Source organism: Homo sapiens, chromosome 4, assembly GCF_000001405.40.
Source record: "Homo sapiens chromosome 4, GRCh38.p14 Primary Assembly".
Lineage (NCBI taxonomy): Eukaryota > Metazoa > Chordata > Mammalia > Primates > Hominidae > Homo > Homo sapiens.
In genome coordinates, this window is record NC_000004.12 from 127,010,741 (window position 1) to 127,037,492 (window position 26,752).

The window sequence follows — 26,752 nt, forward strand, 5'->3', positions numbered from 1 at the left end:
CACTCTATAGTAATCTTAAATTCTAGATACATGAAGTACTTTCTTTTTATAAAGAAAAATCTATAAACCTCTAATTTGTCAAATAGAATAGTATCTTAATGAACTTCAGGTAAGAAAAGATTTGTTAACAAGACACAAACGATATGAACATAAAGAAAAAGATTGATATATTTAGCTACATTAAAATTAAGAACTTCTGTTTCTTAAAATACACCATGAAGAGAATAAAAAGACAAGCTACCACCTGAATGAAAATATTTGCTGTATCTATAAATAACAAGGATTAGCATTTAGGATACATAAAAGTTATTTTTAATCAGTAAGAAAAAGACACATAACCTCAAGTAAAAATTGCAATAGACATAAACAAGCATTACACAAAAGAGGAAAGCCAAATGAACCATAAACTTGTTAAAACCTGCATCCTCATCAGTAATTAGGAAATACAATTTCAAACCTCAATGAGATACAATTTCATGCAAAATTTTAAAGTAAGTCAGTGTCAATTTTAGTAAAAATATGGGACAAGAAGAACTCTTAGTCACTGCCAGTGTACATGTAAATTGGTGCAACCCCTTCAAAAACTATTTGTCACATAAAGTTGAACATGTGTGTATGCTGCAGCCTTGTAATTCTACTACTAAAATATTTTATATTTATATATTAGAAGATTTATGTAAGAAAATGCATAGCAACATTGTTCCGAACAACAACAATCACAAATGTTTACCAAAACAAATGCTCAACAAAGTGTGTTGTACTATTGTTTTCATACAGTTATGTGTGATATGAGAAGTGAGAAAATAACTTACTGTATATTAATATACTGAAATCATCTAAAGTGATGAAAAGAAATGACATAGTACTTTATAAATCAATAAAAATGAATCTCAATATTAAGCAACATATGCAAGGCATAGAATACATATATCATGTGTTATTATTTGATTTTCATAAAATTCAATATCAATAAATTAATCCTACTCTTAGGTTATATACATGTGGTTGGACATAAAATATAGAAAGGGAAAGGAATGTGATCTCAGAGGGATACACTGCTATCACGATCATGTTTTATTTCTTAAGCTAGATAGTGGACACATGGATGTTAATTTTATTTGTTGTAATTTTACAGTACATGTATGCATTTCACGTACTCCTTTGTATGTATAGTGTATTTTCCAAATCTCTTTAAAGAAAATATCATATGCCTTAAAAATAGGAAATCGTTGATGAAAAAAATTAACCAATGAATTTTATCTGATCATTTGAACATTATGATTTCAATACCTCAACATAAGGTAGGGAAGTGGTAAATAATCACTGAGCCAGGAAGAAAAGAAAAAAAATCTAACAAAACTATTATGAGGGCGAAAATTACCAAAAAAAAGGGCTCTAAATAGGCAAAAAGCAGAGGAGTAGGTGGAAAGGATTAAGAAATTATTCAACGAAGTGTTAAAAAAATTGGCACACTGCTTTCTACATGCCAGTTTATGTTGCCTCCAAAAATATAATACATTAAAGATTCCAAAAAACACAGATAGAGGGAAAAATAGGTATTTTTCTTAAAAAAGCAAATAAAAATAACTAACTTCAGTTTGCAAGTACTCATGAGGGAAAAAGTTTACCCTGTGTTTTCATAAATGATGTTTCATTTGTGTGAAAAATAGAGAAGAAAATAATATTCTAACATAAATGCACTTAAAAATGTACTAATCTTTTACTGCTGTCATGTAATAAACACATACATAGAGATGTGTTATAATAAAAGAACAATTCTTTATGTAAGTGTGTACAATAATAAAAAAAAATCATCCAAAAGACCCAAATTCCAGAGGGTTAAAGAGTTACTTTTTTTGGTGGTAGTATGGATTTTATTCAGAGAAGGCAGCTGGACATTTGATGAAACTAGAAATGGATATAAGGTCTCTTACATTTGAGTTTTCCTCACTTTGAACCTTGTCCAAGTGGTGAATGAGTCATGACCAAATATTTTCACAACTTACTACACATTTGGTGATCATTGAGCCATGAGCTGATGGCCTTCCATCATTCCTTGGTGGGCAGGTGTCACCACTACTAATTAGGCTTTTGCTTAAAATCTGCTAGGGAGCCAGAAAGCAAGAGGGTCTGGAGACTGAACAGCCCATTCATGGCCTGCAGTGGCCCTATCCAGGTAGGAACAGAAGGCTCCAGGCCAAGGCCAGCTGGTAAATATCATTACATCCAGTATAACAGAGTGGTTTTACCTTGGATTGCTGTCAGTCTGGCTCCTCTACCAGCATTTAGTTGAGAGGACGAAATTTCACAAATGTAGGTGCTTTGAGGAACAAAACTTTGTCTGAATCAGTCCCATAAATTTTACAGCTGACATTTCACATGATATGTCGTGGTATATTCTGGTCAAAAGTCTATCAGCCACAGATCAGCAGAATCTTAGAATAGGTAGACGAGTAGGATGTGCTCCATAGGCAACTGGTTTACACTACAGATGTAGTTCTAGAAATGAGGCGGAAAATAACGTTCTCAAAATAATAATATTCTTCATTTATACAAAATATTACAATTTTCAAATGATTTCACATACCCTTAGAGGTAGAAAATTTTAATTTCAGAAATAAAAAAAAAATTGAGCTCACAAAGATAGTACAGGACTGAGCCAGGACATATTCTGAGCATAAGTTAAAGTCTAATGTTGCAACACCAAAGACATGGAATCAACCCACGGTGCCCATCTATAGTGGATTGGATAAAGAAAATGTGGTACATATACACCATGGAATACTGCACAGCCATAAAGAGAATGAGATCATGTCCTTTGCAGAAGCAATGACTGCAGCTGGAGCCCATTATCCTAAGCAAATTGATGCAGGAACAGAAAACCAAGCACCGCATGTTCTCACTTATAAATGGGAGCTAAACACTGGGTACTCATGGACATAGAAATGGCAACAACAGACACTGGGGACTACTAGAGAGGAAAGGGAAGGAGTGGTTGAAAACCTATTGTGTACTATACTATCTGAGTGACAGGATCAATCATACCCCAAACCACAGCATCATGCAATATACCCATTTAACAAACTTGCACATGTACCCCATGAATCTAAAATAAAAGTGGAATTTTTTTTAATAATCTATTGTAGGATCTTCTCCATGACAGATGCTTAAACATAGTAACAAGGATACTGATTGGCCAGGGACCTTGACTCATACCTGTAGTCCTGGCTACTTGGAAGGCTGGGGCAGGTAGATCGCTTGAGCTCAGGAGTTCAAGGTTACAGTGAGTTGCACTCCAGACTAGGCAACAGAGCGAGAGCAGACTCAACTTAAAGAAAATAGTGGTAGTAGCTGTCATTTTTATTAAGCAGTTAGTATGTATGAAGCATTGTATTATACATTTGGTACTTCTGTGTCTGAATTGAAAATATTAAATTATATTAAAACACATAGCAAGAACTTTCTCTATTTAATCCATTGATTACAATAAAGATTTCTTATCAGTTTCTAAACTTAAATGTCCTTGTTTTGCTCTCTAACTGGAGCATAACTGTATTGATTTTATATACATATATAAATTAAATATTAAATATATGTGCTTATATATTTTTACATTATACTAATTTCATCATATTTTGCAACTCATTTTTAATAATTTTATATATTTATATATTTAAAATATGTTATAACTGTATTATAATTAATCATAATGTATAATTATATATTCCATATATAAAAGATAGTTTACATGTGTATATATTTTATATAGTGAACATATATTTTATAATTTTGTTATAATCAATTAAATTATTATATAATTACACATAATCATGTAATAATTATTTCTGTTATTTCACACATGAATGAAATTAGCTACAAAAACAGTATTATATATTAAGAGATGATAATTTTACTAAACCTTAAAAAAATTGCATGGTCAATATTTAAAACAAAAATTTTTCTTAGCCATTATTTACATTTTATTTTTTACCCTTAGTCTCACAAAAACAATTTACTTTGGAGGGTTCTATTTAACAGATATTTATTGAAAGTTGGCTGTGCTAAGAAAGCAGGAGCTATACAGAAGTGAGATCAGACAGTACCCTTAAGGACTTTATTATCTACTAAGAAGAATAAAAACACACAAATAGAAGATACTGAGAATTGACCAGAATTTTTTTCTTTAAGTTCTAAATAGAAAAGGTAGTGTATTTAAAATTAATCTAAAATATATTTAAATTGATATTTCAGCAATGGTAAACTAATATTTCTAAGTTCTCAAAAGTCAACTCAAATTCAGAGTGGTTTCAAATATTGAGTCACTAAACTGACCCCTAAGAATAAAGCGAGGACACAAACGGTGTCTCTTTATTTTCATTGATTTATTTCAGCACAATTCATCAAATTGGGTTTTTTCATTGGCAGAAAACTTTTTATTCTTGTATTTTTCATTTAATACAAGAGCCAGCAAAAATGCATTGAAAGGCAAAGTTAATAAACTAAAATCTCTAGCTCCAAATGCAATACCTAAAAAGGAAAATCTCAAATCGTTAGCCCACATAAATATTCCCCTTCCTCATTCCTCATCCCAATCTCCCTGTGTCCTCCTGAGAAAACACACACACACCCTTCACCACACACCTGAATCAGTTATTCTAACATACAGCAACCTGATTCTATATCCAGTCCTTTTATGTCTACTTTCAGTTTAACCTAAGCCAGAACACTATCACTGAATAATATAATACAATGCATGACAAGTATGAATCTTTTTAATATGGCCCCATATGCTAGAGAAGTAAAGAAAATAATATGATGCAGATTTCTGAATCTCCTTTTAACTCAGAAATCATATGCAATAATTAGAGACATACTAAAAATCCAAACAAAGAGACCACTCGCTGTATAGATCTATAAACTGGATATTGGCGTTACAGATGCCAAAACACAGTCAGAAAGATTAGCTTTCAGCTCCAGCCCTGCTGAGGAAGTTCCCTGAAGGATGAAAGAGGCCTCGAACAAAGTGAGATGCTTTAGCTGATCAAGCCCTATTTGGTCACTTTCATCTTTGCGATGCATGGAAAAGGAGCTGCTTTCCTGCCAGCTCTTGGCACTGTGACCAGGCAGAGACATAAAGGGAGGCAAGGCAAGGCCAGCACAAAAGGGGAAGTGGTTAAAGGCAGCAGCCCATTCCAAAGAAACAAAGGTGCTGGCAGGAGACGTTAACAAGGAAGACGCTTGAGCCTCCATGGTAAATAGAATGGCAATGGCCTAATAATAAACCTGAAAGACACAAGTGAGGATGGTTGCATGCAAAGTGGAGGGAAACCTTCCAATTACTGCTGTAGACAGCCCTATTAATCCTTAGGAGCACTCCCGACAAAAAGTCTATTCAATTTTCCCTCGATGTGTTCCATCTAATGGGAGCAGTATTATGTCTGACACTGAGGGTAATTACCTCATGAGAATTTCACATACAGAGAAGTAAAGTCTTTAATTTTCTGCAGGTGTCTTGAGCACATTCTGCATAATTCTTTGCCCCAAAATGAGGTGCGCATTCCTCTTCTGCAGAGCTGCTTTCGGATTGGGATGGCTTGCATTTGAGGACTATAAGTAATAGTCATTTATCTTAGCCATTATGGAAAGCAGCGCATAGTATATTCTCCCTTCATCACATTACAAATGTCATTAGTAACTTCAGCAAAGCTGAAAAAATAAATATAATATATATCATATATGTACCGTATATATATATACACACACGTACTCATATATGTACAAATCTTGTTATAACACTCCTCTAGCTCACAACCATTAGCAGTATATAAGTACTTAGGAGCCCTTCTATATACATTAGTTATGAGAGTTCCAATAAGACTATAACCCTGTAGGCAGACACTTAACTGTTTATGCCTCCCAGTTTATGAAACTTAGAAACAGTTGAAATTGTACAGGAAAGAGAATAGAGAGAACAATATTAAGGCTGTTTTATTTTCTGAAATAATTACACATGTAGCATGTCTTGTTGATTTATTCTAAAGACACCTAAGCCAAACACAAATAGATAAATTTTTTGCTGAATTACATAAAGCAGTTTTATCATTTTAGCATTCAATCCCTTTTGCATAACAAAGAAAGCATCCTGTAACAGCAGAGGTGTGACAAAATGTATGTTTAATATGCTAAGCAAATTATGCACAGGGAGGAAAAACTCATTTTTTTAAAAAAAGTGTTTTTCAATGATGGAGCAGTCAAGAGTATAGAAATAGGTTATAATGTGGCACATTTCATTAAAATTAATGCAGAAATAATTAAACATTTCTTAGAGTTGATGGCTTTACTACTGAGAAATTCTTACATTATACAAGAACAAAGATAATCTTATTTTTTCTACTAGGAAATAGGTTTCATGAACAAGACCACACTGCTTGGTGTCATATATGCTCTTAATGAATGTGTTTTCTTAAAAATCCACATTGTTAACTAGAAAACAATGACACTTCAGATATCACAATATAGTTAATTGAAACAGAGGTGGCTGAATCCCTTTGTTTCTAAATTGGTTCTACTTCCAAAATGGCCATGATTTTAGGTTACAGAAGCTATGCCTGCATGGGACAATCAGATTGTTGCCCTGGGTTCACCAGCACTCTCTGCTGTTCAGGGGCTCATAAACAGTCCAAACTGACTGTTCAGGTTTCCTTCTTATCCAGGTGTCTTAAACATTGTAGAACATTTTGAATGTGTTCAGAAAATTCCCAAAAAACCTGACTATAGCTAATAAAAATTTTTTATTACAGTTCAACTTTAGCAAAAAATTAACATGTCCTTGAGTGTAAGTTATCTTTAATTTTCTTTTGAAATTAGGATGTAAAACTTAAATTAATTACTCTGAGGAAGTGTCGTCTTCTACTCAAAAGTCTGAGGCATCCTTTCAGAGAGAGAAGACTAAGGATGTGCTCGCATCCTTCTCACTCCTCTCTCCTCCTGAAAATCCCAGTATATCCAGCAATCAGTGCTTCTGGTAATTGCAAAGGACATGCTGTCCTTGGCTTTCATTATTTCCCAATTTACTCAGGCAGACAAAGACATCCATCGAGTCTTCAAGCCATAAACTTACTGGCATCCTGTAAAACTTCCCCAAAAGTCTCCTGAAGCTGAACAGACTGCAAAAAACTGACCTGGAAACTTCTATAACTAGTGTGCTAACCTATAACTCAGTAAGAAGTATAGACTTGCTAATGCCCAGTTACCCTTCATGCTCATGGCTAATCACTAAGGTTGGTCTCATTTCTTGATAAAAATGCCACAGGCAAAGGTGAAGAAACTACCAGTCATCTATTACTCCTCTCTGCTTATAAGCAGATACCACAATATGTTGTGTTTTTCTCTTAGAGGGAGGGTGAAGAAAACCTTGGTTATCAGCTTTTTTTTCCCATTAATAGATATAAAATGGTTCTTTATGAAACATCTGAGTATAAGTTCCAAATTTCCCTCTGTGAACTCACCATGGCTATGAAATATTGCAATCATGTAATTCTCCTGTATATTCTTAAACAGACATTGACTTTCAAATTAGGTCAATGTTAGTAAACACTGTCTAAAACCAAGTGAACATAAATCTGAAAGATAATTCAGCATAAAATAGTCAATGTAGAATAATTTTAACTAATAGTCACAGTGCTCACTATTTTCTTTTCTTTTCTCTCTTTTTTTTTTTAACATAAGAAGTTTTTCAAATACCCAACCCCCTGGCAATTCAGAACAGATTCAGGAAAGGACATTACTTCTTACTCAAGAATTAGTTCCAAACTAATACAGATGATGGAACAAGAAAGCATACATGGGAAATAAAATCTGAAACAGATGGCAGGAAGTCCTATACGAAGAATTATACATGCATAGTTGATCTGGCCAAAGAAAATTATTCCGGCATAAACACTGGGTCCATTCAAGAGATGGTCAAGAAGAAGGATGAAGTGAAATTGTCAGACCAATAAGTGGTCATCATGGGGCAAAATATACTTTTTAAATGTACTATTGGTGATGTAATTCACATTAGGGTATTCTGGCCTTATAGGTCCTTAGTAAGAAATGAAAACAGAACATAGCATTATTCACCCTCATTTGCATGCAGTAATTTCTGCAAAAATGTACAGAAACAAAAATGCATTCTAAATACATGAGGATTCTGATATGAAAGGATGAACGAAGGTTCATAAATACAGTGTGTGTTGAGTATAAAGAGAGAAATATATTAACACCTAGATTATGTTTCTATCTCCAAACAGATTTATTTACTATTTTTATTTTCTGAGACAGGGTCTCACTCTGTCACCCAAGCTGTAGTGCAGTGGCACAATCATAGCTCACTGCAGCCTTGACCTCCTGGGCTCAAGCAATCCTCTTGCCTCAGCCTCCCAAGCAGTTAGGACTACAGCTGCACACCACCACACCTGGCTAATTGTTTCCTCAATTTTTTATAGAGCTGGGGTCTCACTATGTTGCCCAGGCTGGCCTCAAGTAGTCCTTCCATCTTAGCCTCCCAAAGTCTTGAGATTAACATGTATGACACCACACCCAGCCTGAACAAATTTATTTTTAATGTCTCTGAGTTCCAATGCATTTTGAGAATTGTACTCAATCTCCTTTATTTTTATTTCAGTCTTCCTTATAGCAGCTGTGCATATTTAGCATTTCATAAACAATTAAAACAACATGGATTAGGATTCCAAAATGGAATTATAAAATTTTAACAGTTTAAAAAATCAGATTTAAAGGCTTATGAAGAAAGATTTATGCAATACAATTTGATACTTCCATTTCTAGTTCTAGACAATGTAGCACAAATATGACTTTCACAGAGTATGTCAGGACTGTCAGCTTTAGCTAAACATTTTTAAAATATTCAGACTAAATTAAAATAACCTGTTTCCAGCCTTTGAATTTTTTTATTTTGTGTTAAAAGCTGTACAAAGATGTAAGGAGAACCATTATTTTACTGAACATTTAGTATGTGCTAGCCAATATTCTATTGTCTTCACACATGGTGATCCATTTAATATTCAAGATCCTCTAGTATTACTTACCGTACTTATCCTTGCTTTGTAGATGAGAAGGTTAAGTAAACTTATGATGCTCAATACTGTCAAGTAGCATAGCTAGAATCCAAACCTAGCTCCCAAATTCACTCACTTAACTGTTTGCTACAGTATTGTTTTTATATCTTATACATCCATAAATATTTATTTACCTCTTACTCTCCATTATCTAAAAACAAAATCTTTTTTTACAAAATTTCTCTCACTAAACCTGAATTAACTATAGTCCAATACTCATAAAACTATTCTTTTTAAATTTATACATACAATTGAATAAATGAATGTGTGTGTTCTTTACCCCTCTAGCTGAAATGAATAAATGCAAATCAAAACCACAATGAGATACCATCTCACCCCAGTTAGAATGGCAATCATTAAAAAGTCAGGAAACAACAGGTGCTGGAGAGGATGTGGAGAAATAGGAACACTTTAACACTGTTGGTGGGACTGTAAACTAGTTCAACCATTGTGGAAGTCAGTGTGGCGATTCCTCAGGGATTTAGAACTAGAAATACCATTTGACCCAGCCATCCCATTACTAGGTATATACCCAAAGGACTATAAATCATGCTGCTATAAAGACACATGCAGACGTATGTTTATTGTGGCACTATTCACAATAGCAAAGACTTGGAACCAACCCAAATGTCCAACAATGATAGACTGGATTAAGAAAATGTGGCACATATACACCACGGAATACTATGCAGCCATAAAAAATGAGTTCGGGGAGGAGACAAGATGGCCGAATAGGAACAGCTCCGGTCTACAGCTCCCAGCGTGAGCGACGCAGAAGACGGGTGATTTCTGCATTTCCATCTGAGGTACCGGGTTCATCTCACTAGGGAGTGCCAGACAGTGGGTGCAGGCCAGTGTGTGCGCGCACCGTGTGCAAGCCGAAGCAGGGCGAGGCATTGCCTCACCTGGGAAGCGCAAGGGGTCAGGGAGTTCCCTTTCCGAGTCAAAGAAAGGGGTGATGGACTCACCTGGAAAATCGGGTCACTCCCACCCGAATATTGCGCTTTTCAGACCGGCTTAAAAAACGGTGCACCACGAGACTATATCCCACACCTGGCTCAGAGGGTCCTACGCCCACGGAATCTCGCTGATTGCTAGCACAGCAGTCTGAGATCAAACTGCAAGGCGGCAGCGAGGCTGGGGGACGGGCGCCCGCCATTGCCCAGGCCTGCTTAGGTAAACAAAGCAGCCAGGAAGCTCGAACTGGGTGGAGCCCACCACAGCTCAAGGAGGCCTGCCTGTCTCTGTAGGCTCCACCTCTGGGGGCAGGGCACACACAAACAAAAAGACAGCAGTAACCTCTGCAGACTTAAATGTCCCTGTCTGACAGCTTTGAAGAGAGCAGTGGTTCTCCCAGCAGGCAGCTGGAGATCTGAGAACCGGCAGACTGCCTCAAGTGGGTCCCTGACCCCTGACCCCCGAGCAGCCTTACTGGGAGGCACCCCCCAGCAGGGGCAGACTGACACCTCACACGGCACGGCATTCCAACAGACCTGCAGCTGAGGGTCCTGTCTGTTAGAAGGAAAACTAACAACCAGAAAGGACATCCATACCGAAAACCCATCTGTACATCACCATCATCAAAGACCAAAAGTAGATAAAACCACAAAGATGGGGAAAAAACAGAACAGAAAAACTGGAAACTCTAAAATGCAGAGCGCCTCTCCTCCTCCAGAGGAACGCAGTTCCTCACCAGCAACGGAACAAAGCTGGATGGAGAATGATTTTGACGAGCTGAGAGAAGAAGGCTTCAGACGATCAAATTACTCTGAGCTACGGGAGGACATTCAAACCAAAGGAAAAGAAGTTGAAAACTTTGAAAAAAATTTAGAAGAATGTATAACTAGAATAACCAATACAGAGAAGTGCTTAAAGGAGCTGATGGAGCTGAAAACCAAGGCTCGAGCACTACGTGCAGAATGCAGAAGCCTCAGGAGCTGATGAGATCAACTGGAAGAAAGGGTATCAGCAATGGAAGATGAAATGAATGAAATGAAGCAAGAAGGAAAGTTTAGAGAAAAAAGAATAAAAAGAAATGAGCAAAGCCTACAAGAAATATGGGACTATGTGAAAAGACCAAATCGACGTCTGATTGGTGTACCTGAAACTGATGTGGAGAATGAAACCAAGTTGGAAAACACTCTGCAGGATATTATCCAGGAGAACTTCCCCAATCTACCAAGGCAGGCCAACGTTCAGATTCAGGAAATACAGAGAACGCCACAAAGATACTCCTCGAGAAGAGCAACTCCAAGACACATAATTGTCAGATTCACCAAAGTTGAAATGAAGGAAAAAATGTTAAGGGCAGACAGAGAGAAAGGTCGGGTTACCCTCAAAGGGAAGCCCATCAGACTAACAGCGGATCTCTCGGCAGAAACCCTACAAGCAAGAAGAGAGTAGGGGCCAATATTCAACATTCTTAAAGGAAAGAATTTTCAACCCAGAATTTCATATCCAGCCAAACTAAGCTTCATAAGTGAAGGAGAAATAAAATACTTTACAGACAAGCAAATGCTGAGAGATTTTGTCACCACCAGGCCTGCCCTAAAAGAGCTCCTGAAGGAAGCGCTAAACATGGAAAGGAACAACCGGTACCAGCCGCTGCAAAATCATGCCAAAATGTAAAGACCATCGAGACTAGGAAGAAACTGCATCAACTAACGAGCAAAATCACCAGCTAACATCATAATGACAGGATCAAATTCACACATAACAATATTAACTTTAAATATAAATGGACTAAATTCTCCAATTAAAAGACACAGACTGGCAAGTTGGATAAAGAGTCAAGACCCATCAGTGTGCTGTATTCAGGAAACCCATCTCACGTGCAGAGACACACATAGGCTCAAAATAAAAGGATGGAGGAAGATCTACCAAGCAAATGGAAAACAAAAAAAGACAGGGGTTGCAATCCTAGTCTCTGATAAAACAGACTTTAAACCAACAAAGATCAAAAGAGACAAAGAAGGCCATTACATAATGGTAAAGGGATCAATTCAACAAGAGGAGCTAACTATCCTAAATATTTATGCACCCAATACAGGAGCACCCAGATTCATAAAGCAAGTCCTGAGTGACCTACAAAGAGACTTAGACTCCCACACATTAATAATGGGAGACTTTAACACCCCACTGTCAACATTAGACAGATCAACGAGACAGAAAGTCAACAAGGATACCCAGGAATTGAACTCAGCTCTGCACCAAGCGGACCTAATAGACATCTACAGAACTCTCCACCCCAAATCAACAGAATATACATTTTTTTCAGCACCACACCACACCTATTCCAAAATTGACCACATACTTGGAAGTAAAGTTCTCCTCAGCAAATGTAAAAGAACAGAAATTATAACAAACTATCTCTCAGACCACAGTGCAATCAAACTAGAACTCAGGATTAAGAATCTCACTCAAAGCCGCTCAACTACATGGAAACTGAACAACCTGCTCCTGAATGACTACTGGGTACACAACGAAATGAAGGCAGAAATAAAGATGTTCTTTGAAACCAACGAGAACAAAGACACAACATACCAGAATCTCTGGGACGCATTCAAAGCAGTGTGTAGAGGGAAATTTATAGCACTAAATGCCTACAAGAGAAAGCAGGAAAGATCCAAAATTGACACCCTAACATCACAATTAAAAGAACTAGAAAAGCAAGAGCAAACACATTCAAAACCTAGCAGAAGGCAAGAAATAACTAAAATCAGAGCAGAACTGAAGGAAATAGAGACACAAAAAACCCTTCAAAAAATCAATGAATCCAGGAGCTGGTTTTTTGAAAGGATCAACAAAATTGATAGACGGCTAGCAAGACTAATAAAGAAAAAAAGAGAGAAGAATCAAATAGACACAATAAAAAATGATAAAGGGGATATCACCACCAATCCCACAGAAATACAAACTACCATCAGAGAATACTACAAACACCTCTACGCAAATAAACTAGAAAATCTAGAAGAAATGGATACATTCCTCGACACATACACTCTCCCAAGACTAAACCAGGAAGAAGTTGAATCTCTGAATAGACCAATAACAGGAGCTGAAATTGTGGCAATAATCAATAGTTTACCAACCAAAAAGAGTCCAGGACCAGATGGATTCACAGCCGAATTCTACCAGAGGTACAAGGAGGAACTGGTACCATTCCTTCTGAAACTATTCCAATCAATAGAAAAAGAGGGAATCCTCCCTAACTCATTTTATGAGGCCAGCATCATCCTCATACCAAAGCCGGGCAGAGACACAACCAAAAAGGAGAATTTTAGACCAATATCCTTGATGAACATTGATGCAAAAATCCTCAATAAAATACTGGCAAACCGAATCCAGCAGCACATCAAAAAGCTTATCCACCATGATCAAGTGGGCTTCATCCCTGGGATGCAAGGCTGGTTCAATATACGCAAATCAATAAATGTAATCCAGCATATAAACAGAGCCAAAGACAAAAACCACATGATTATCTCAATAGATGCAGAAAAAGCTTTTGACAAAATTCAACAACCCTTCATGCTAAAAACTCTCAATAAATTAGGTATTGATGGGACGTATTTCAAAATAATAAGAGCTATCTATGACAAACCCACAGCCAATATCATACTGAATGGGCAAAAACTGGAAGCATTCCCTTTGAAAACTGGCACAAGACAGGGATGCCCTCTCTCACCACTCCTATTCAACATAGTGTTGGAAGTTCTGGCCAGGGCAATCAGGCAGGAGAAGGAAATAAAGGGTATTCAATTAGGAAAAGAGGAAGTCAAATTGTCCCTGTTGGCAGATGACATGATTGTATATCTAGAAAACCCCATTGTCTCAGCCCAAAATCTCCTTAAGCTGATAAGCAACTTCAGCAAAGTCTCAGGATACAAAATCAACGTACAAAAATCACAAGCATTCTTATACACCAACAACAGACAAACAGAGAGCCAAATCATAAGTGAACTCCCATTCACAATTGCTTCAAAGAGAATAAAATACCTAGGGATCCAACTTACAAGGGATGTGAAGGACCTCTTCAAGGAGAACTACAAACCACTGCTCAAGGAAATAAAAGAGGACACAAACAAATGGAAGAACATTCCATGCTCATGGGTAGGAAGAATCAATATCGTGAAAATGGCCATACTGCCCAAGGTAATTTACAGATTCAATGCCATCCCCATCAAGCTACCAATGCCTTTCTTCACAGAATTGGAAAAAACTACTTTAAAGTTCATATGGAACCAAAAAAGAGCCCGCATCGCCAAGTCAATCCTAAGCCAAAAGAACAAAGCTGCAGGCATCACACTACCTGACTTCAAACTATACTACAAGGCTACAGTAACCAAAACAGCATGGTACTGGTACCAAAACAGAGATATAGATCAATGGAACAGAACAGAGCCCTCAGAAATAATGCCGCATACCTACAACTATCTGATCTTTGACAAACCTGAGAAAAACAAGCAATGGGGAAAGGATTCCCTATTTAATAAATGGTGCTGGGAAAACTGGCTAGCCATATGTAGAAAGCTGAAACTGGATCCCTTCCTTACACCTTATACAAAAATCAATTCAGGATGGATTAAAGATTTAAACGTTAGACCTAAAACCATAAAAACCCTAGAAGAAAACCTAGGCATTACCATTCAGGACATAGGCATGGGCAAGGACTTCATGTCCAAAACACCAAAAGCAATGGCAACAAAAGACAAAATTGACAAATGGGATCTAATTAAACTAAAGAGCTTCTGCATAGCAAAAGAAACTACCATCAGAGTGAACAGGCAACCTACAACATTGGAGAAAATTTTCGCAACCTACTCATCTGACAAAGGGCTAATATCCAGAATCTACAATGCACTCAAACAAATTTACAAGAAAAAAACAAACAACCCCATCAAAAAGTGGGCGAAGGACATGAACAGACACTTCTCAAAAGAAGACATTTATGCAGCCAAAAAACACATGAAAAAATGCTCATCATCACTGGCCGTCAGAGAAATGCAAATCAAAACCACTATGAGATATCATCTCACACCAGTTAGAATGGCAATCATTAAAAAGTCAGGAAACAACAGGTGCTGGAGAGGATGTGGAGAAATAGGAACACTTTGACACTGTTGGTGGGACTGTAAACTAGTTCAACCATTGTGGAAGTCAGTGTGGCGATTCCTCAGGGATCTAGAACTAGAAATACCATTTGACCCAGCCATCCCATTACTGGGTATATACCCAAAGGACTATAAATCATGCTGCTATAAAGACACATGCAGACGTATGTTTATTGCGGCATTATTCACAATACCAAAGACTTGGAACCAACCCAAATGTCCAACAATGATAGACTGGATTAAGAAAATGTGGCACATATACACCATGGAATACTATGCAGCCATAAAAAATGATGAGTTCATATCCTTTGTAGGGACATGGATGAAATTGGAAACCATCATTCTCAGTAAACTATCGCAAGAACAAAAAACCAAACACCGCATATTCTCACTCATAGGTGGGAATTGAACAATGAGATCACATGGACACAGGAAGGGGAATATCACACTCTGGGGACTGTGGTGGGGTGGGGGGAGGGGGGAGGGATAGCACTGGGAGATATACCTAATGCTAGATGACGCGTTAGTGGGTGCAGCGCACCAGCATGGCACATGTACCCTAAAACTTAAAGTATAATAAAAAAAAAAAAAATGATGAGTTCATGTCCTTTGTAGGGACATGGATGAAATTGGAAATCATCATTCTCAGTAAACTATCACAAGAACAAAAAGCCAAACACCCGCATATTGTTACTCATAGGTGGGAATTGAACAATGAGAACACATGGACACAGGAAGGGGAACATCATACTCTGGGGACTGTTTCGGGGTGGGGGAGGGGGAGGGATAGCTTTAGGAGATATACCTAATGCTAAATGATGAGTTAATGGGTGCAGCACACCAGCATGGCACATGTATACATATGTAACTAACCTGCACATTGTGCACATGTACCCTAAAACTTAAAGTATAATAATAATAAAATAAAAAAAAATTGTTTTGGAAAAAAACTAATATAATACTTAATTTCTCCACTACAGCTATACAGTAGCACATTTACAGCATTTCACAGTAGTATCTTGGAAAGTCATCTTATTGCCAGATACTATAATATTTAACTCTCTGATATTCGATTCCCATTACTTTTTTGTGTACATTCAAAAATTTTTAACCTGTATGCATTATCCAGCCAAAATATTAAATTAAAAAGTAGAAATTTGGCCAGGTGCGGTGGCTCATGCCTGTAATCCCAGCACTTTAGGAGGCCGAGGCTGGCCGATCACGAGGTCAGGAGATCAAGACCATCCTGGCTAACATGGTGAAACCCCGTCTCTATTAAAATATACAAAAAATTAGCCAGGTGTGGTAGTGGACGCCTGTAGTCCCAGCTACTCAGGAGGCTGAGGCAGGAGAATGGCATGAACCCGGGAGGCGGAGCTTGCTGTGAGCCGAGATTGCACCACTGCACTACAGCCTGGGCGACAGAGCGAGACTCCGTCTCAAAAACTGCCCTGTTCTCCCTTTCTGCCTTACCCTGCTTGGTGGATTCTCTTAGTCTGTCGGTTGTTGTATTATTCAGAGTTCCCAGGGAAACAAAAGAGAGAGAGAGAGAAATTTATTTTAAGGAATCGACTCAGATGATTGACGTCTGGCAAGTCCGAAGTCTGCAAGTCAGGCCAGGGCTGGAGACACAGGGAAAAGTTGATGTTGCAGTCTTGAGTCTTAAGGCAGTCTGAAGCTAGAATTCCATCGTTCTCAGAGGAATCTCAGTTTTCTCTCTTAAGGCCTTGACCTGATTATACAAGGCCCACCTACATTACAGAGTGTGATCTGCTTTACTCAAAGTCTACTGATTTAAATGTAAATCACATCTAAAAACTACCCTTAAAGTGACATCTAGACTGGTGTTTAACCAAACAACTAGGTACCATAACCTCCCCAAGATGACACAAGAAAATTAACCATCACAGCAGCTCGTACGTAAATTTTAAATTTTAGAAACTGTGAAAATTACAGAAGGCCAATTAGTGAATTGGTTTTGCCATCTTAAATCCTAAGTAGTGTGTCTTAAAGTTTCAATGATTCTGTAAAGCTGAACATATCATATCTTGAATAATTGCAAACAAAAACATTTTTCCCATAATAAACACAATTCCACTGAGCAACCAACACCACTAATGTAAAATGAAGCCCCTATTTTAGACTAGTGAATTGCAGTAGTGACAGGAGGGGAAAGGGTAGAACAAGGAGTTCGATTAATAACTGATTGTGAAAAATCAATTTCGATAACGCACTACTTTCACACCAGCTGTGAGATATTAAGGCTTGAATTTGAATTTGTGGCCCACACAAAATATTGCAGTGTCCTACAACAGATGCCATTTGAGCTTTGGGAAAGAGAGCCTTGGCCTAATGTCATGGTGCTGTGATGGCTTCCTTCCTACAGACAAGGAGCAGGAAAATTGGGAAAGTCACTAGTGTAACCAGAAACAACATATGAATGTCAAATATAAATTTGATAGTACTGCATCCATTGCAGCAGTCTTCACATTCACACCCGATTTCATTACAAAATTAGGATTGGAAACTGCTAGTATTCTGGCAGGTAGTTTCAGGGCATAATCAAAACCTCATGTCACCTGAGGCACTCTGAGCAAAATTCCAAACTGCCAAGAGCACCACCTAATTTGCCAATACAGTTGCATATTTTTGCTACAAAGATAAAGAGTGCAACAGTGATATTTGCTTGCATTTTTGCATGTTACCCGATAAGTGGCTTCAAACTTCAAAGGACTTGTATTTTTTTCAGTGCTCACACAATAAAATTCTGAGATCATCAGCTCTGTATTTGCTTTCTCGTCTCAGGGAAAAGTTGACCTTGGGTGATTTCGAACTGCTCTGCCCACAGCACTTAGGGGTTAATTGCAGCTCACATACTTTAAAAAAAATACTTCTTGTGACACATTGATCCAAAATATTACCACCAAAACATTTAAAACAATTGCAATATGATACTGATTGTCACATCTTTGCTGTGTAGGGGTTTATATGCAAAAAGATTCATGATTGACCCTTTCAATAGTTACAGATTGAATAATATCCGAGTTAATAACTATCCTTTAAGTATTCTTCTATGTGCTTAGCCTTCTCTCATGTGCATATGAATTGTCAGCAACGCCATCAGTCAAGAGAAAGTAGGAAATATTACTTTTTCATGTGCATATGAGACACACACAGATAAACAGGACATGGCTCCTCAAGAATCTTGTAGTCTTCTAAGGGAGAAAGAGAAGTAATCAGTTAAAATACAGCACAGTAAGGGCTGGCATTAAGTATCATGAGCATCTGGGAAACTACAAATCTCTTAGTATGACCAGGGTACAGGGCTTAACATGAAGTATTATTAGGGCTGTCCATGATTATAGTAGCTTAACATGAAGTATTATTAGAGCTGTCCATGATTACAGTACAGGATTAAGAGGCATTATTGAAGGCCCAATTCTAAAGCATGAATTTGTAATGATACAAATCTAAATACTACATAGAGATGGTTCTTGTTTTATCTTACCATAGTCATGCCATTCTGATTGTAATCATTCTGGTTTTAATAGATAATGTAATTGGGACCTAGAGACATTTATCAAGCCAACTTTGTTGAGCACTTTGTTTCACACAGAACAATGGCTCCCCAAACATATCTATATCATAATTCCTGGAACCTGTAAATATGTTGCCTCGCATGGCAAAGAAGACTTTGGAGATTAAATATATTTCTTGAGATGGGAAGATTATTCAGGTGGGCCCAATAAGAGGGAGGCAGAAGACTCAAGAGTCAGAGAAGGAGACGTAACAAGAGAAGCAGAGTTCAGTGTTGCAGGGAAGGATCCCCAAGGCAAAGAATGTGGGCAATACCAGAAGCTAGGAGAAGCAAGGAAGTGAGTTCATCCTAGAACCTCCAGAAGGAAGACAGCCCTATCAACACCTTGACCTCCATACTGTACGATAATAAATGTGCACTCTCTTAAGCCAGTAGTATGCCAGCATTATCATAAGTGCTTCGCATGAATGAAATAATTTTAGCCTCACTAACGTGAGTCAGGGACTACTTTATATTATATGTAGTCCTCACGACAACACTTATAATGTAGGTACTAGCTTTCTACCCATTTTGGAAGTGTGGAAACCAAGATACGAAGAATTAAAGTAATTTGTCTAAGGTCATACATTTAATCGTTGACAAAGCCTGAGTTTGATCCCAGGCAATCTAGGGTGCATCTTGACTTGAAGTGTCTTCTTTTCCACATTCGCACACTTATTAAATGTCAAAAATAGTGTCTTAATCTGTGTTTCCCCCAATAAAAACAGAGCCTAAGAAAAACGTTTGTGTGCAAGTAGTTCATTTTGAGTATTGATCCTAAGAAGCAGGAACAGGGGACTTGGAATAATGAAAACAGAAGGAGGAGCCAGTCCAAGGATTTATGATCAAGCTGTACTCACTGAAAAGAACTAGGATCTTATCCCACGGGATAATGTCTAAGGAATGTGGAGAAGGCATCTCAGAATTGTCTATTCAAGGAACAGAAGAGGGAATTATTTATTTGCCAGCTTTTGTCCCCCATTAATCCAAGGTTCAGAACTCAGTGTTAACTTTTCACACTTTCAGGGCTATGCACACACCAGATGAGATGAGTGGGTTACTAAGGTCTTCGACTTGGAGGCAGCTAAGAAGCCTCATGGTGACAGGTACTCAATTCAGCCAGAGTGAGGATCTGTCAGGTTACACCTGCCCCAGTTGAGTGCTGTGGCAACAGCTGGAGAAATAAACGTGAGCTGTAAAAATGTAACAGCATAAAAGGAGTCTAATGCAGCTGGTCTTTGGATTTCAAATTCCAGATTCTTTCCATTGTATCATGATGCATCTCCTCAAGTAATCACTTGTTTTTGCTTTGATAAGATCTGATGTTTTGAAAGATTAGGCTTCTGCCATAATAGTGAACAATTTTCTTATATATCCCACGAAAGGTGGATTATGCTGTTTTATATGGATTACTTTTGTCTCACTAAATGGATATCAAATTCCTAGAAAGTGGATATGGTAACATTTACCACTTTTTTTCTTTTCACAATATCCAAATCAACAATGGACTTAAAATAGGAACGCAAAAAATATGCACTGATTAGTATTCATTTGAATTTCAACTTCTCAGATATTAGTTTTATTAGTAATTACTGTCAAAATGTAAATAGCCCCACTACGGATTTTAGAAAATGCTTTCTTCATGTTTTAATGCTCCTTTCAAATCTGTTGCTGTTCTTTCTTCTTTTAATTTTAATAGCTTAATGTTTTTCATCCAAATATAGCACAAAATTTGACTTCTGTCATTAGACGGGAGAATCACCAAGGACCAAACCTGGAAATCCTGAAAAATGTTTCTTTTCAGATGGATCATAATTCAAATTGAACAAAGTTTTAAGAAATCCTAAGTATAATTCTATATTAATATATTTGTCATTTTTATAGAGAACATTTTTTATCAATTGGACAACATGTACAGTACAACAAACCATCCAAAGAATAGACAGCATTAGAATGTAGGTTAATATGGTTATGACTATATGTCACTAATTTGAGGCCAATTACATAGACATAATAAAAACTAAATAGATTGTGATATATTATTATTTTATATATCTGGCCAGTAAGTGAAAGACAGCCAAATATTTTGTACCTTAGCAGCACAGGGAAATTTCTCAGAACATAGCACTCTTTATTTACCTCATTTCAAAAACAAAAACATTTCCATAAAGAAATATTCATGCCAAAATAAATACAGAAATTAAACTTTGTTGGATATAATTATTTGAATTTGCTTGACCTTTTTCTGTCTTTTCTTGGTTATTACACCTGTGAAAATGGTGTTTTAGTTTTAGTAGAAAATAAGCCAAAAAAGGTTCCACTGGGAATCACTATCATTTATCACAAAAATTAAAATTAAGTAATACACTAAAAATGTTTACCATTTGAGAGACAGTAATCTACAAAATTTACTCTAGCCACATTGAAACTTTATTCTTGAATATGGTTTTATTTAATGGATAATTGCATATAAGTAATTTTCTACACACATGTATCATACAGTAATTACTTTTGATAATCATTATTTTAAAATCATTTAAAGTTATAAATAACATAAAAGAAAAGATTATTTTTCACTTTATCTGTATTTAATAGAAAAGTTTCTTAGGGTATAATTCTAGAAAAGTATTACAAATTAAGGTTTATTCAGTTTTTTTTTATGTAATTAACGCTTGGTAAGGATAAATCACATACTTATGATTTTGGAGGTTTAGGATTCTGTGAGACTAATTAATCATGATCAAATGCACCTTGAAAAAAATATTCTATGCCAATGAAAAGAACTATTCAACTATGGTAATAAATCATCAATTCACAAGGAAATGTGGGGCCTCAGTTTTTATGGGCTCATCAGAAAGACCTGCATGCCATAAACACATGTATTTGGTATTTGGGGTTACTGCTTTTAAAAATATGGAGAAAAGACAAAAAAAATCTGTCAAATCAAAAAGCTAATATAAGTTTCCAAATTTTTTAAATCATAGATTCATAACCTTCTTAAGAAAAGGCGTGAATCTTTAAAGAAGATCTTTGGAGGCCTGATACAAATGATAGAGAACAGAAATTTAAAACCTGTTTTTTCAAAGTTAACAACCCTATATTTGAAAAGTGATATATTTTAAAAATTAAGCAAATATTTTGTTCATATTTCATTAGGAGAAAAGAGGCTATCACATTGCAGTTTCAAGTTGCAATTTATATGTAGAAGCTTTCTGTTCATACTAATGCTATTTTTTTCACTCCTTAGCGTCTTCTATAGTTTGAATATATCCCCCAAAAAGCAGGTGTTGGAAACCCCATTGCAACAGTATTGGAAGGGAAGGCCTAATGAGATGGGATTGGGCTGGGAGGGTTCCATCCTCATCAACAGATTAATGTCATTATGGCGAAAGTGTGTTCATTATAAATGGGCAAGTTTTGTCCTCTATTCACTCTCTTGCCCTCTCTCATCTTCTCTCTTACTCTTTTGTCTTTTCCATAGGATGCCACCACAAGAAAGGCCTCACCACAGGCTAGCCCCTCTATCTCAGACTTCCCTGAATTCAGGACTATGAGCCAATAAATATCTGTTCATTATCAATCGCCCCACCTCACACATTCAGTTATAGTCACAGAAAACAGACGAAAATAACATCCCATATTTTCCATGTTCCTACAGTGCACTTTCAGAGAATTGCTTCCAGTTTCCGAATACCACTGAGCATGTACTAGAATGTAAGACTCAGTCGAGCTTCTGGAATGCTGGGAACACCAGGTAAAATGTGTGAAACACAACATACAGCAACTTACCCTGTACTGGCCCATCTCTAGCTGGCTGAAATTACAACATGTAATTTATCTTGCAGGAATATTGTTTCTACCATCTGTATCAAATAATCCAATTACCTAACAGCAGTAAAATGTATGCAAGTAATATCAGGAACCATATTAGACTATGAACAACCTGAGGTCTGTCGTATTGGGAAACTAGACCAAAAGAGGAGATCAAAACCCAAAGAAATGTAAAACAGAAACCTTCACACACAACATGAAGACTTAGCCATCCAACATCCCATCCAATAACTAAAATAAACAAAGCATCCATTTATCATGTTACAGTGTCTGGAATTCTTACTGGCCTAGTTTCTGACAGTTTTCTGAGATATTTCCTTTGTTCGCTCACACTAAATAATCTCAAACCAGATGTATGATGATCAGCCAGGTTTAGGTGGAAGAAGTATTTATTCCCATTAACCTGTTAACAGATAAATATGTCAGTAATGCCATGTAGTACCATCTGATTCAAGGGAATAGAAAGGCATATTTCTTCAGTTTAAAAAAAAAATTCCCAGTACATGTTATTTGTTCCTTTTAAAACATCTTTTCTTTTCAGTATAGATATACTTTCATCACATACTTTTCTTCCAGAATGTACTTGAGTATTCTTTGTTTTTCAAACTTCCTATTACATGCGGGTTCTCAGCTGAGTGGTGTGCTGAAATCCCAGAAGGAAAAAAATATAGGCAAAAGGGAAGAAAGTGGGGACAGAGCCAAGTATAAGAGATAAACCCTGCTTTAATGCTAACCCCAGTTAACTTGGCCAACAGCTCAAATCAAAATGTACAAAGTAGTTTTGTAAGCTAAGCTCAAACTGGCCCTTCACTGGCCAATGGACACTGTTGCATGAGGGTAACCCAGGCTTTTACACTGACTACAGTTGTTTAGGGGAAACTGGAAGGGAGGGCTGTATCTCAGGAAATGTAGGGGAAAAGGCCAAATCTACAATGGTCTCTGCAAACAAAAAGCAGGGTTAATGGGTCAAATCCATAATGTGTCTGTGTGTATACTCAACATGAAAACTGGACATCAAAGACCTAATTTTAGATGAAGAGTCTAAAATTTTGGTTAAGCCCACAGAGTGAAAAAGGTCCAGCATTTAGAGAGTCCCTAAGGCCATTGTAGGCCCAGAGTGCTTTGTGGAAGATGTCAGTCGGGAGCGGAAGAGCAAATTCAGTTGATTTCTTAGACGGAAATAACAGAAAAGTGACAAAGATCCAGAAGTAGGTTTATTAGGGTTTACCTTGAATCTTATGACATTCAGGGACCCCTCACCTGCACAGACCCCTTCTAAAGATACGGGAGGAAGCCTAGCAATATGTTCCTGTGATCACAGGTTTCTGGAATTTTTATCAGTATAAAATAAAATTATTATGACATCAGAAGAAACTTGGAAAGACCCTTAGATTAGGAATGTCTGATTAAATCACGTGAGGAAAAAAAGACTCCTGGTATGAAGAGTGCTTTCTTGTATTTATTTATTTATTTAATAAAAATAATAAAGGACCTCACTCTTGTTACTCAGGCTGCAGTGCACTGTTGTAATCATGGCTCACTGCAGCCTCGACCTCCCAGGCTCAAGCAATTCTGTCACCTAGGCCTCCTGAGAAGCTGGGACCACAGGTAGATGCCATTATGCCAGGCTTTTTTGTGGATGTTGCAGAAATTGGGTCCCACTGTGATGTCCAGGCTGGTCTCAAACTCCTAGACTCAAGCAAATCTCCCATCTCGGCCTCCCAAAGTGCTAGAATTACAGGCATGAACCACTATGCCCAGCCTAGAGTACTTTTTTTGTCATCTCTAAATTTATCTTTTAAAAATTCTCTATTGTTTTTATATGCACAAACCTATGATAGTATTTCTCCCAGTTTTACAGTGATCTTAAAAACTGATGACAAATAACAAATAATGAATTGTTTAGATAAAATAGTTTTTTCAAAACTTTTGGTAATGTATATTTTCTAAACTATCAATATACGTTATTGGCAGTTTAGAAAAACCTCTTTCAGATATATATATATTATATATATATATTATACACACACACATATATATGTACTTTTCACATATATAATCAACCATGCTAGAGGAAGTATTGAGTTATCCTTTCATTCTCTCTGTTGCAAACATAACAAAAATTGTTTTCATTTGAAGCATATGCAGGTCAAAAAATGTAAGAAACAGTGTGTGTGTGTGTATATATATATATATATATATATAGGTATGTCAGGTAGTTAATAAAATATTATGTTATATTCATGAATTTGTGATGATTATGATTTGTCAGTTTTTTTAAGTTAGTAATTTTTGTAGTTTCTTTTTTATTCTAAATAATTACTTTATACCTAACTTTTAAATATATGACTTAGAGGAAAGGGGTTTGAGGGGGAAGGACAGATATCTAAATTGTATAAGCTTTAGCCTCCGCAGAATCTAGAATCACTCCCATTTTGAAATTGAACGTCAGTTTTGTTTGCTCTTTTTTGTTGTTGTTTCAAGATGGCAGATTAGAGGCTTTTAGCATGCTTCAACCACTTGGAAATAGCAAGACAGTGCATAAAGACCAACTCCATGAGCTTTATGTCAAGAAGGAAAATAGGAGTACACTGGAATCAGGAAGGACACCCAGATCCTGGGAAGGAGAACATGGGAAAACAGACCCCATGACAGTGTCTGACTGATAGAGGTGAGTGAAGCCCCAGTACATCAGAGAGACAGAGAGCTTGCCTCTGTGACTCACCTTTCCACTGAGGATCCAAGCAATCCAGGCTGAGGGAAAGCACTTTGTTTCTCCCAAGCCCTGGAGCTTACCTGGGGAGAGGCTTGAAGATGCTGTGAGGGGAAGACACTCGGAAAAGCTGCAGACATTTTCCTAGACCAGGACCAAGAGAAGGACACCATTTGTAATCCAGGTGCAAATAAAGTCAACCCGGCACCGTGGCTGCACAGGCATTTCAGTCTTGGGCAGGAGATTGGAGCACCTGCTCTGAAGCAGATTAGAGGCTTCCACATCCAGAACCGTGGAAAGTGACTCAGCAATGGCAGTGGAATTGTATTCTTCTCCATCACAGGCCTGGGGCAGGAAGAGAGCTGCTACAACTACAGTCTCTCCTGGATGACACGACTGGCAGCCAGGGCCAGGTTAGTGACCTGGAACTGGTTTGTGTGTGTCATTGTTGAGTGCTTCAGCCTGCTCCCCTGAGATGGTATAGAGAAACCCTCTCTGCCCCACTCCAGGCAGAACCTCAGGCATTTAGAGCATCTACTTGCCTGGAACAGCAGCTTAAGCTAACCCACCCTCATGGACATAGATTGTGGTGCAATGGGGCCCTCTTTGCTCCACTCCCAGACACATCTTCAGGCATTCAGAGCACCCATTCACACAGGCTAGCAGCCTGAGTCATCCTACTCATCCTGTGCAGAGATCCTCTGCATAGGGGCCACTCTATAGCCAGACAGATCTCCAGGAATTAGGAGCACCTGCTCACCTGGTTCGACAGCCTGAGCTAACCCCCACTACCTGGGTATAGATTTTGGTGCAATAAGACCCTCTTCACTCCACAGTCAGGTAGATCTCCAAGCATTTGGAGCACCCACTCACCTGGATTAGTCATTTAGGCCACCCCCTGTTCCTCATGCAGCAAACTTGGGGCCAAGGAGGTTTTCCAGCTCCATGCCAAGGAACAATTCTGGGCTCTTGGTGGCTGTCCACTGGATTCGTCCTCAGGCCTGGTGTTTGTACCTGCAACCAGGGCCTTGTAGGTGGACCTGTATAGTCCAACTCTACACATCTTCCCCCTTATCCCACTGGGGCTGAGCAGGGAGCTCAGACCACTGTGAACTCCACAAATAAGCCTCTTGCCTGAAGCAACAGAGAGCTTCTCCTGGTAAACAAGGATTAAGTATATACCCAGCCATGTGTTGGCCACAGTCAGCTCTCACCCATAGCACTATCTATTGATTGTAGGTCAAACTGCACAGTCCAATATAAAACCTGCCAGCAGAAGTCCATTGGCTGTGGAAGAAAAGTCAAAAGACGCTACCCAGCATTTTCTAGAGTCATACCCTCTAAGGAGTGGGGGAAAGGGAAAGGGAAAAAAGAAAAAATAGTAATATTATAGGGAAAGAAA

General features: G+C 37.6%; 2 annotated features.

Moving 5' to 3' along the window:
• Positions 9,578-10,123: an enhancer, noted in NCBI's record as "H3K27ac-H3K4me1 hESC enhancer chr4:127941473-127942018 (GRCh37/hg19 assembly coordinates)". NCBI's record gives its function as "activates a minimal SCP1, AML or CMV promoter by ChIP-STARR-seq in naive H9 embryonic stem cells {active_cell/tissue: H9 hESC(naive)}" and the evidence as "EXISTENCE:reporter gene assay evidence [ECO:0000049][PMID:30033119]".
• Positions 24,985-25,154: an enhancer, noted in NCBI's record as "experimental_73301 CRE fragment used in MPRA reporter constructs". NCBI's record gives its function as "activates a minimal promoter by MPRAs in K562 erythroleukemia cells, with activity observed for both the introgressed and non-introgressed 4:127956965 variant alleles {active_cell/tissue: K562}" and the evidence as "EXISTENCE:reporter gene assay evidence [ECO:0000049][PMID:34662402]".